Here is a 13,229-nt window from a genome sequence, read left to right as displayed (position 1 = left end):
CAAAAGCAACAAAATGTAGGCATCTATCTGCCTGTCCTTGCTGGGATTTCAGGAGATTTGTTAACGCTGCTATCAGCAAGGCCAGCAGAATTTGAGAGGTTAATTTAAAGCAGTATTTCTTAACCTGGGATCTGTAATTTCTAAGAGGTCCACAGAATGTTTTGGGGAGCTTTGGGGTGAGGAGTGGACCTTCTTAAATGGAATAGAAAAGTTTGTACAGGCTGGGCGCGGTGGCTCATGTCTGTAATCCCAGCACTTTGAAAGGCCAGGCGGGCAGATCACCTGAGGTCAGGAGTTTGAGACCAGCCTGGCCAATGTGGCGAAATCCCATCTCTACTAAAAATACAAAAATTAGCCGGGCATGGTGGCAGGCACCTGTAATTCCAGCTACTTGGGAGGCTGAGGCAGGAGAATCGCTTGAACCCTAGAGGCGGAGGTTGCAGTGAGCTGAGATCATGCCATTGAACTCCAGCCTGGCCGACAGAGTGAGACTCCGTCTCAAAAAAAAAAAAAGAAAGAAAAGAAAGAGAGAGAGAGGGAGAGGGAGGGAGAGAGAGAGAGAGAGAGGGAGAGGGAGGGAGAGAGAGAGAAAGAGAGAGGGAGGGAGGGAGGGAGAGAGAGAGAAAGAAAGGAAGAAAGAAAGAAAGAAAAAGAAAGAAGGAAAGTTTGTACAAATAGGTCTTTTACTGGAGAGAGGCATGGCTCATCTTAGAGTCTCCAATTCAAAAAATTAATAACTACTATTTTTTTTGAGACAGGATCTTGCTCTGTCGCCCAGACTGGAGTGCAGTAATGTGATCCTAACTCACTGCAGCCTTGAACTCCTAGGCTCAAGCAATCCTCCTGCATCGGGCTCCTGGGTAGCTGTGGCCACAGGTGTGCACTGCTGTGCCTGGCAATTTAAAAATATATATATTTTTGTGGACACAAGGACTCACCATGTTGTCCAGTTGGTCTCGAAGTCCTGGACTTGAGGGATACTCCTGCCTCGGCCTCCCTAAGTGGTGGGATTACAGGCATGAGCCACTGTGCCTGGCTAATTATTACTTTTTAAAGCAAGTTCATAAGCACAAGTTTTCCCCTTTTTTTCTTTTGAGCAGAGTTTTGTATATCAAGAGATTTTGGGCGCTCTGTAAAGCCTCACATGCCTCAAATATACAGTTCTGAGTGAGCGTGTGAGTGCACACTCATATGTGTTTGCCCAGGTGGGCACAGCCTGGCTCCAGATGCTCGTTTCTTCCAGGAGGTGGCAGCCAGCCATAGACAGCAGAGGGCTGGGGAAGGGCAGGGGCATCCGAGTAAGCCTTTTCTAGAGTCAGCCCCTACCACTTTGTCCTTTTGCCTGGGTAGTTTACCAGCCACGCGGGTATTAACGATTGGCCAAAGAGCTGCGCCTCACTATGTTAGGGGAGTGAACAAGGGAAGGACAGTCAATATACTACTTTCCCTAGTCTCTGGAGCCTAGGACTCCCTCCTTTTTATCCATCTGGCAATATGGTTCCTCCCCGGTGCTTGTGGGTTTTGAAGTCAGAACTGGATTTGCATTCTGTCTCTCTCACTGTCAATTGCGTTATTTGTACAGTTATTTAAATTATTTGAACTTTATTATCCTCATTGGTAAAATGAGGGTAAAGTCCATACCTTGGAATGGTACTGTTATGACTCAATGAAATGATGTACATAAGGTGCTCACTTCTGGGCCTGACCATAAAGAGTGCTCAGTAAATAGGGGCTGGCCAGGAGCTGTGGCTCACACCTCTAATCCCAGCACTTTGGGAGGCTGAGGTGGGAGACTCACTTGAGCCCAGGAGTTCAAGACCAACCCAGGCAACATAGGGAGACCCTGTCTCTACAAAAAATAAAAAAGGAAAAGAAAAAATTAGCTAATTGTGGCGGTTTTTGCCAGTTGTAGTGGTCCCAGCCACAGGGGAGGTTGAGGTGGGAGGACTGCTTGAACCCAAGGAGGTTGAGGCTGCATTGAGCTATGATCCCACCACTGCACTCCAACCTGGCAACAGAGTGAGACCCCCATCTCTACAAAAGCAAAAAAATTAAATAAATAAATATAAATAGAGGCTGTTCTTTCACTGAAACTCGGGCTCCCTGCTACTGCAAGGTGCACCATTCTAAAAGGCTTTACTAAACGTGCTCAAGATTTTTTATCTTTATGAAACTTTTGGGAATAGAAACAGGTAACTCTACTTAAAAAACTGAAAAAGGAAATCTGGATTTAGTGGCTACAAAGATGGAGGGGTTAAAAGCTAAGCTGGAATGGGAGCAGAGAGAGAAATAAAGAACATCTGTTAGTATCCATAACAGGAACATTGTCCCGTCTCTCTATGGGTGTCACCTCTCCATTGGGACATCTTTGATGTGCCTTCACATCTCAACACCTTTGCCTCACACTAGCAAAACTCCTGCTGAAGGAACTTACTCTGCATTATTTTCAATATTTTAAAGGATTACTTATCCGATCAAGTGCACAATGAAAGTAAAACATAACATTGTTTACCTTGTTTATATCTAAACATCGGTAGAATCAGAAACAAAATAGCAAACCACAAAAAAAGCACCTAAAACCAAGCCATAGTTTACAAGCTCTTTCTATATTACTATTGACACAGGATTAATTTTGTATAGCTGCTACCAATGTGTACATACTGTTGCAAGTTCTACTTTTTCACACTAATTTATATAGACTTCTTCATATTTCTATAGTCCGAGTGGCAATATTTATTTTGATATGTTTTATCTCTATATCACAAGACTTCGGGTTGGTTTCTTACTTGAAGTGTTTCTTTTACTTATATACTCAATGCTATCCCAATACAGGCTTCTCCCCACCTTGTCGAAGTTTGTAATAAGTTATTTAAACAAATTGTTTTTAGAGGCAGGGCCTCGCTCTGTCACCCAGGTGGGAGTGCAGTGGCACTGCAGCCTTGAACTCCTGGGCTCAAGCAATCCTTCCAAGTAGCTGGGACTACAAGTATGTGCCACCACGCCCCACCTGTGCTCTGATAAATTTTGACATTTGTCAACTTTTACCAAATTACTCTCAGATTGTATTAATACTAACCAAGGCCCCTGGCAATGGATAAATATGCCTAAAGCAGAATATTTCCCATCTTTTCCAACACTGGGTTTTGTATCTTTTTTCCTAATTTAATATGAGTGAAGTATCTTGTTGTTTTAATTTTCAATTTTAAAATTATAATGAATGTGAATATTTTCCCGTCTTAAAAAGCCAAATGATTTCTCCCTCCTTTTGTGTGAATTATCGGATCCAGGGGTCAACAAACTATGGCCCATGGGCCAAATCTGGCCAGCCTTCAGTTTCTATAAATAAAGTTTTATTGGAACACAGCCATGCTCACTTGTCTACATATTGGCTAAGGCTGCTTTTTGTGCTACAATGGCAGAGTTGAGTACTTGCAAAAGAGCAAAGTCTGAAATATTTACCGTCTGGCACTTCACAGAAACAGTTTTTAGACTCTTATTTCTTAGTTAATATTCACTCTTCTACTACCATATGTTATGCTCCAGCAATATCAAAGTACCTGTAATTCCCCTCATATCATGATACTTTGTGTTTTGGTGTCTTCACCTATGTTCTTCTGTCTGTCTAGAATTTCCAATCCCCTCCCTGCCAGGAAGGTTCATCCTTTCAAAACCTCCTTGAGAGGTATTCATGCTGTAAAGTATTCCCTTCAGCTTCAATTCACTGCATTACTTTTTGTTAGAAGATATTGATAATTGGTGTGAGAATCAAGAAAACAAACGTGTGGGAAAACAGTTTGTGAAATTACAAGATGCTATATAAAAGTAACAACTTCTAGTAAAAAGTTACTATATTTGGCATATAATTATTGTTATATTTTTATTATTGTTGTTATTATATTTGGCAGCATCAATATCCACCTTTGTTTTTACTTTAAGTTCATATCATTTATAGTCAACTTTTTTTTTTTTTTTTTTGAGACGGAGTTTTGCTCTTTTTGCCCAGGCTGGAGTGCAATGGCGTGATCTCAGCTCACTGCAACCTCTGCCTCTCGGCTTCAAGAGATTCTCCTGCCTCAGCCTCCCAAGTAGCTGGGATTACTGGTGCCTGCCACCATGCCTGGCTAATTTTTTGTATTTTTAGACCAAAACATCCAAATCACTCTCATGGATTAAAGGATCTGCCCTATCTTATAATACCTCTTTATTAAATACTGTCAATAGAGTGGGGTGCCTGGACTAGCTATTTCGGCAGTATCAGTGCCAATTTGGATTAATAATATGAGTCTTATCAATTATTGAGTAGTCATTAAGATGACTCAAAATGTCAATCAACCAACCAAGCCAGAGGGCCCAACTATCTGTGTTATCCTTCTATTTGACTCCAGAGAACAAAGGATAGAATCCTAGAGAAACAATAAATATGAAATTCTGAGAATATATGCTAACCAAAGATCCATTCTATCCTTTGGTTGCAGATAATTATGCAAAAATCAGACAAGATAATACCTTGAAGAAGAGTTTCATTTATATAGAAAAAATGATCTGAGCTAAAACATACATTATAAGTGCAAAATAATGCCTAGAATCTTTGGGAATTCTGCTTATCTTTCAAAAGTATTTTCTAGAAGAACATCGCTCTGCACTACAAAATATCATAGCTGTAGTTTTAAAAATGGGTCTGCATGGCCGGGCGCGGTGGCTCACGCCTGTAGTCCCAACACTTTAGGAGGCCGAGGCGGGCGGATAACGAGGTCAGGAGATCGAGACCATCCTGGCTAACACGGTGAAACCCCATCTCTACTAAAAATACAAAAAAATTAACCGGGCGTGTTGGTGGGCGCCTGTTGTCCCAGCTACTCGGGAGGCTGAGGCAGGAGAATGGCATGAACCCGGGAAGCGGAGCTTGCAGTGAGCTGAGATCGCGCCACTGCACTCCAGCCTGGGCGACAGAGCGAGACTCCGTCTCAAAACAAAAACAAAACAAAACAAAACAAAACAAAAATGGGTCTGCATTCCTCTCTCTGACCTCTCCCCACTTCCTTTGGGAATCGAAACTATAGAAAATATTATTGTGAAATATAATATATATAAAAACTATAATACAATGTTGCATGTGTATGTGTATTGGTGTGTGTGTGAGAGAATATAGTTTATTAATTTAAACAATGATCTCTGGGGAATCCAGAAGAGATTTCCATTTGCCTTGTGAGAAGTTTAATATATGTGTTCAAAGCCACAAGGCTAAGGTTCAAATTACACAGAGTGAAAGCTTGGGCAGTTATGAATGCTCAGAGTCCCAGAGACAAAAGCTTTTAGTTATAACTGCATTTCTGGAAAGGAGGGCGCCAGTTTCTTCACCACTTCCATTAAGGAGCAACTACTTATTTTAGCGGTGCCTTTCTCTCAGGAAGTGCAATATATAGGAAGGGCAGAAAAGTAAGCAAAGGAGGAAATTTGATATTGATTTCTTTTCTTCTGTGAAATTACATGAAAGCTCAATGGCTCGCAGCAGCAACCTAGTCAATAAAACTCCATTTGAGACCACCTTGAAGTTCAACGTTCTCCCGATCCTTTTAAATTTTCTCGTGTCAGGTTCTTTTTGCATTTAATTGTCTTTAGTTCTGAGATACTATGAAGCTTTTTATTCATAACATTACAGAGATGATTTTGCTAAAGATAAAACTGCGAAGTATTTCCAGATGACAATGCCCTGCCCCTCCTTTTTGGTTAAAAATCAACAACACAATAAACAAAATCTGAAAACCCAAGGAAAAACAGAGATGAAAAAAGCGAATAGTAGAGCTCCTTGTTGTAAAGCAATTGCTCAGTATTAGGGTGCTGCTAGGTTTTCCTGCAGAAGGAGTAAGTACAGCATTTCCTCCTGTGGGGCTGGGAGAATACCATTTGTGTTAGACTCACTATTATGTATGTGTACTTTTTGGTCGTGATAATTTCTAACATTTCTTAAACACTTACTGTGTGGAGGTAGTATGCTAAGTCTTTATTTATATGGTTTCTGTTCTTTAGGGAAGCAATAAGTCGCCTGTGTGAAGCTGTCCCCGGGGCAAATGGAGCCATTAAAAAGCGAAAGGTAAATGATGATGTGGTTTTCTTGTTTATGTTTCCCTAATTATGGCAAAGATAGTATGAAAATCGCTGTTCGTTCATCCCACCATATGACCAAGGTCCAGCCTGGCCTTTATTAGGTGGCGTGATATCAGAGCTGCACTCAAAACTGCTCTTGTCCCTCAAATCTTTCCGAGTTGCCTGACACTGTCCGACGTGGTGATACCTCCAGCTGCAGAGGGGAGAAAGCCCTGGGCTTTATGTCAGAAATGTAGGGTGCCAGAGTTGGCTGTTACTGACCAGTGAGCATGGGATCTCATCTTGCTGAGACTCTGTTCTTATTTCCTGTGGAGTTAGGGAGTTGCACTAAATGGCCAGTTTAGTGCCTTCCAATTTCCACATTTTATAATGTATGTATTCTGCATTATAACATTTTAGACTTTTTAGGCTTCCTGGCCTATTTTCTAGTATAAATATGGATAGTGGTAAAGGTGAGGTAATAGCACATGGGTACAGTAGCTTTCCCTGTGGAAAGAAAGCAAAAGTTTTGATGTTAGACAGACTCGGATTAAAGTCCTGCCTCAGCCACCTACAAATGGTGTACTCTTGGACAAGTTACTTAACCTCTTGGATCCTTGGTTTACTCATCTGTAAAATGGGAGAAAATAGCACTTACTTTATAGAGTTATGTAAGAAATAAACGAAGTGATGTCTACATACTATCTACCACAGCGTCTGGCATCTATTACACTTTCTGTGTTAATGGTAGCTAGTATTATTGCTATTAAGCTATGAGCCCTAGAATATTTTGTTGGTTTGAAAAGTCCAAAGGGCCAATGCAAAAGCTCTTGAGATAACTATATAAATCATATAGAATTGCAGACTGTTTAAGGGAAGGGTTTTTTGTTTTTGTTTTGTTTTTTGTTTTTGAGACGGAGTCTCGCTCTGTTGCCCAGGTTGGAGTGCAATGGTGCGATCTCGGCTCACTGCAAGCTCCGCCTCCCGGATTCAAGCCATTCTCCTGCCTCAGCCCCCCGAGTAGCTGGGACCACAGGAGCCCGCCACCACACCCGGCTAATTTTTTGTATTTTTAGTAGAGACGGGGTTTCACTGTGTTAGCCAGGATGGTCTTGATCTCCTGACCTCATGATCCGCCTGCCTCGGCCTACCAAAGTGCTGGGGCCACAGGCGTGAGCCACCGCACCCGGCGGAGAAGGGTTTTTTAAGAGATCTTCTGGTCTAACCTTTTCATTTTGCCAGCTACTAAACTGAGTCTGAGACAAGAGATGATATTTGCCTGAGTCACTAGGATGATTAAGGTCAGAGCCAGCTGTAGAAGCCAAGTCTTCAGATTCCCAGCTTAGGGCTCTATTTCTATACCATTCTGCCCCATTTTTGGTTATCATTCTTCATTATATTACATAGGGCTGAACCCAGTGTCACCTAGAGAATCCACACGGTATGAAACATTCTGACAAATGGCTCTTAAATTCCATCAAGGACTCCCTTTGACTAGTTTCTTTCACAGAACCCATGGTTCCAAAGTAATCTCTAACCTCTTCCTGCTTCTCATAATTTCTGATTAGGATGCTTCAACTGGATGATTCCAGCTACCAGGCAAGATATTCTCATTTAAGGAGCAGGGATTCCCCATCCCAAAATAAAACAGAGCAAACCTGGCTATCATCTATCCGGAAAGTACACTTGCAGAGAAAAACAGAAAAGCAGCTAGTTTCCTTCAACAGCTGGCATGTATTGAGTACTTAGTATGAGCCAGGGACTCTTTCCAGCACTTTAGGCTTTTTTCTTTTCTTTTCTCTCCACTTTATTGTGGTAAAATATCCATAACATAAAATTTACCATCTTAACTTTTTTTTTTTTTTTTTTTTTGACAGTTTCACTCTGTCACCCAGGCTGGAGTGCAGTGGCTCACTGCAACCTCTGCCTCCTGGGGGTTCAAACGATTCTCAATGCCTCAGCCTCCCGAGTATCTGGGATTGCAATCATGTGCCACCATGCCTGGCTGATTTTTGTATTTTTAGTAGAAATGAGGTTTTACCATTTTGGCCAGGCTGGTCTCTAACTCCCTGGCCTCAAGTGATCTGCCCATCTCAGCCTCCCAAAGTGCTGGGATCATAGGTGTGAGCTACCACTCCCAGCCTCATCTTAACCCTTTTTAAGTGTACAGTTCAGTGGTATTAAGTACATTCATATTTTTGTGCAGCCATCGCCATCATCCATCTTTAGAACTCTTTTGATCTTGCAAAACTGAAACTCTACACATTAAACAAGAACTCCCCAGTCCCCTATCGCCCCGGCCCCTGGCAACCAAAATTCTACTTTCTGTCTCTATGATTTTGAGTACTCTAGGTACTTCATATGAGTGGAATCATACAGTATTGGTCCTTTTATGACTGGCTTAATTCACTTAGCATAATGTCCTCAAGGTTCATCCATGTCATAGCAGATGTCAGAATTTACTTCCTTTTTATGGCTGAATAATTTTGCATTGTATGTATATACCCATTTTGCTTATCTATTCATCTGTAGATGGACACCGGGTTGCTTCCACAGCTTAGCTATTATGAATAATGCTGCTATGAACATGAGTTACAAAATCTTTTAGAGACCTTCCTTTCAATTATTTTGGGTATATACCCAGAAGTAGAATGGCTGGATCATGTGGTTATTCTATTTTTTAATTTTTTTAGGAACTGCCATACTGTTTTCTACAGCAGCTGTATCATTTTACATTCCCACCAATAATGCACAAGGGTTCTAATTTCTCCATATTCTCACCAAGCCTATTCACATTTTCAGTTTCTTTATGATTTCATCTTGATAGGTATTCTAGGAATTTGTCCATTTCATCTAGATTCTCCAATTTGTTGGCATACAATTGTTCACAGTAGTCTCTTACAATCCTTTTTATTTCTATAGAATTGGTAGTAATGTCTTCACTTTCATTTCTGATTTTAGTAATTTGAGTCTTTTCTCTTTTTTGCCTTAGTTCATCTAGCTAAAGGTTTGTCAGTTTTGTCGATCTTTTGGGAGAACCAACTTTTGGTTTAATTAATTTTATCTATTTTTCTATTTTCTATTTATTTTATCTGTGTTCTAATCTTTATGATTTCCTTCCTTCTGCTAGCTTTGGCTTTTGTTTTTTTCTAGTTCCTTAAGTTACAATGTTAGGTTTTTGACTTAAGACCTTTCTGCTTTTTAAATAAAAGTGTTTATATCTATGATTTTTCCTCCTAGCACTCACTGTTTTCACTGCATCCCATAAGTTTTGGTATGCGGTGGTTTTTATACTTTGTTAATCATCACAAAAAACCTAGCCACTAGTGTTATTATTTATCCCCATTTTACAGATGAGGAAACTGGGGCCCTGAGAGGTTAAGTAACTTGCTTAGTGGCCCAGTCAGTGTATGGAGGAGCTAGGTCAAGCCCAGGCAGGCTCCAGCATTTACACACTTAATCACAATGTTATCTGCTTCCTTGCCAAGCATCTGCCCTGGGGGGAGGGAGCCAAAAACGATTTAGGACCAGTTGAATATAGTCAGATCTTTGTTTGATTTCTTTAGATCTGTTAGATACTGCATCATTAGCAGTTTGGAGTGCTAATGGAAAAATGATTTATTCATTTATGTGATCTCCCATGAGTTTTGAAGTCTAAAAGTTAATGAATAACCAAAAGAACTGGGGGTTCCTGAGAGACTATGCGACATAGAGTAGAAGAGCTAGGCTGCTATGTCAGTACAAATAAATTGACCCAGATATAGTCAATTAATGTTTCCCTATCTTAATACTTTTCTCGTTTGTAAAATGTGGATAAGCACCTCTGCCAGGCCTGCCTCCACTCTTTAGTAAAATTTGGTCAGTATCCCATCCTCAGCCTTCTCTTTCTGTTCCCTTCTCCTCTCATTCCCATAATGACCTCTCCCAAGGCCAGGGTCTGCAGTTTCTCTTTCTCGAAGGAGAAATCCTACAGCAAAATTGCCAAAATTCATTTTAAAAGTAGTAATTATAACCACTACAGTTTGTTAGCACTTCGCTGTATACTATGCATTTCCATATACTTTATTATTAATACTAAATTTGATTCTCCTAAGATTCCCATGGCTAGAGGTGGAAGAATGGAAGTGATAGTAGTATTAATCCTGTTTGGTAAACAAAAACATTGAGGGGGTTCCGGAGTTGTCTAAGGTCCCTTGACAAGTTAGGATCAAACCTGGGACTTGAATTCCAGTTGCCTCACTGCCCATCCTGTGTGCTTTCCGCTCCTTTTTCTTCCATCGGTCTTTTAACTGTTAGGACATTTCTAATGATGGCATGAAAGACTTTGTCTCCTATATAATAAATACATTTTGGACATTTCTCACGAGATTAAGGTTATGGTGAGAACAAAATTAAGATGATTTACGTAAAAGTTCTTTACAGATAACAAAATGCTTTTCGACTGTGAGACAGTGTTATAATTTAATTTGTATTTCATAATAATATATATATATATATTTTGAGACAGTCTTGCTCTGTCGCCCAGGCTGGAGTACAGTGGCCCAATCTTGGCTCACTGTGACCTCCGCCTCCCAGGTTCAAGCGATTCTCCTACCTCAGCCTCCTCAGTAGCTGGGATTACAGGCATGCGCCACCACGCCTGGCTAATTTTTGTGTTTTTAGTAGAGACGGGGTTTCACCATGTTGGTCACGCTGGTCTCGAACTCCTGACTTCATGATCTGCTCACCTCGGCCTCCCAGAGTGCTGGGATTACAGGCGTGAGCCACCGCACCCAGCCTCACAATAATATTTTTTAAACTAGCATGGAAAAGAAACTCTAGAGAAGCAAATGAGCAGCTTGCTGTTAAATAAAATCACTGTGGGAACACAAAATCCCTGAACTGTGTGGCTCGCTTTGCCCAGAGCTGTGTAAGAAGCAAAGAAAGTAGACCAAGAGTCAGCTTTATGATGTGGTGATAGCTGTGAGGTTGAGGGCTCCTTCCTCACACTGTTTGCACTACATTTTAGAATGTGCTTGGAATTAAAAATAAAACTGTACATTAAATTTCAACAGTGTGTGTTTAACAGTTTGGTATGGCTCCAGAATGAATCAAATGAGAGTAATATAAAAGCAAAACTAGGAAAGAAACAAATTGTGTTTTCATTGATTGCCTTAAAGTATTGATTCATATGCTGAGGAATTACTGATTTCCATCATCTGGTCCACTTTCCAGTAGAGGATTTCAGGACTTAATCCAAGCATCCATCAAAGCATTCAAATCTCTCAAATGATTTCTTAGAATTTTTAATGTTAGGAAGGGCAAAAATAAGTAATAATAATAATAACAGCTCTCATGTAACCAGCCAAATACTATGCTAAATGTTCTCTAGTTATTATTTAATCTTCACAACAGCCCTTATGAGGTGGCTACTGTTTTTCCCCCCACATTTTATATAAAAGGAATTTGAGGCTTAGAAAGTTTATTTGTCTAAGGTCATCAGTTGGTAAGTGGCATTTCTGCCTGAGGAAATCTGCCAGCCCAGCCTCTCGCCCCCCTGTTGGTACCTTTTTCCTGACATATGACCCCAGTGCTTTTCTTTATAATTCCTGGGTACCCCCTGCTCTCATGATTCTTCACCACACCCCCACACTTCTTCTCCTTGAGAAATGACTGGTTCAGAATTTTGACTTTTATCAAAACATATCCCTTTCCTCAGGATCTGCCTCTAAATCTCTATTAGTAATTTCTGGTAAATCATCTTTATTAATGAGTTAATGTGGAATGGGCTAACCCCTTCCTAGTAATATTTGTTCAGTTTAACAATTGGGACCTTCTGAAAACAATGGTTTAACCTAAAAGGGTGCCCAGTGGTAGAATTTCAGGCATCATGATTATCTGAAGGTAACAATTAGACTAGTAGAGAGGACTTTTTAACTCTGGGAAGGGAAAGATGAGGGAGGAACAGGGATGGCCTCAGAGAAGGAAGCAGTTACGTAATTGGAGAGTTCATCAATGCCTTCTGTGGCATTAGATTCAGTGGATTGTCAAATTTTTCTTTTTTTAGATTTGTAGTATTGAAAAGGACTCAAGAGTTCAGCTGGTCTAAACTCTCACAGGAATTTGTTTACATTAAAGCAGGAGCCCACTCCCAGCACCTGGGGAGGAGAGAAACTATGAGAAAGTTCTGAGGGCCTAAATTTCACTACTTAATAAAGAATTCGCTGCATCCTAATTTAAAAAAAAGTTTATTTAATAAAAACCATTCCCTTTCATTTGATTTACATAAAGTAAAATAGAGAGGAAGAGTTTGGACTTTGACTCATTTTTAACATTTAAAAAACATTAACATTTATTCTGTAACAAAATTCCTAACAGTGTTTTGTTTTTCTTCTTTAATTTTTAAAGCCTCCAGTTAAGTTCCTATCAACAGTCCTTGGCAAAAGTAATCTTCAGTTTTCAGGAATGAATATAAAACTGACCATCTCAACATGCAGTCTCACATTGATGAATCTTGACAACCAACAGGTAAGATCACAAATGTCATTTATAGATAAACATATCTATTTTTTCAGAGAAGCGTGGGGATAATGAAAAGAATAAAGTTTTAGACAGAGTATGCCTACAACCTAATACAGCACAAGGGAAAAATCTGCTGAAGATTTATGCATAACAATCATTAGAACAACAGCATTACTAACCCATCACTGGAGCATGTAACCACCTACATAGGTGTCCCTACCTAACTGGCTTTGAATGAAGAACTAAGTTGCAAAGAACATAGAAAATATCATTTAGCAACTCATATCCTTGAATTGGTCATTGATGTCTCCACCAACCCTCCCCAAATGGATAGCAATTCCGTTATCACAACTAACAGACTGTGTGTTGGGCCAGGGTACAGATGAGGGACAAAGGGGAAAGGTGATGTTGGGGTTAATGTTCTAGCGAACTGAAATTTAAGCAGAAAATATTTTCTTCCAATTCTTGTGGTTGAGAAGCTTTCTAAAATGTTATTGTATAAAAGGTAATGTTTTCTTCCTTAATAATTTATGGTACTGTGGTGTGCCTGAGTTTTCATTGTGAACCTCATTTCTCAAAGAACAGCATTGCTGAAGCAAATGTAGAAGATACGTAGGCATTGGGCTAAATGTGTACCTAAACCA

General features: G+C 40.2%; 1 protein-coding gene across 2 annotated transcripts in view, besides 1 other annotated feature; it reads left to right on the top strand.

Moving 5' to 3' along the window:
* Positions 1 to 13,229, top strand: part of SHC4 (SHC adaptor protein 4) — a 140,179-nt gene that overhangs the window by 67,081 nt on the left and 59,869 nt on the right. For both annotated transcript variants that reach the window (NM_203349.4, XM_005254375.4), the window contains exons 3-4: positions 6,028 to 6,091; positions 12,472 to 12,591. In NM_203349.4, coding sequence (NP_976224.3) covers positions 6,028 to 6,091; positions 12,472 to 12,591 — 184 coding nt within the window. The remainder of the gene's footprint in view (positions 1 to 6,027; positions 6,092 to 12,471; positions 12,592 to 13,229) is intronic.
* Positions 7,859 to 8,040: a silencer, noted in NCBI's record as "fragment chr15:49180996-49181177 (GRCh37/hg19 assembly coordinates)". NCBI's record gives its function as "represses an EF-1alpha promoter that drives an FKBP-Casp9 reporter gene in an ReSE screen in K562 erythroleukemia cells {active_cell/tissue: K562}" and the evidence as "EXISTENCE:reporter gene assay evidence [ECO:0000049][PMID:32094911]".

Source organism: Homo sapiens, chromosome 15, assembly GCF_000001405.40.
Source record: "Homo sapiens chromosome 15, GRCh38.p14 Primary Assembly".
Lineage (NCBI taxonomy): Eukaryota > Metazoa > Chordata > Mammalia > Primates > Hominidae > Homo > Homo sapiens.
This window is presented reverse-complemented; position numbering and strand designations above follow the sequence as displayed.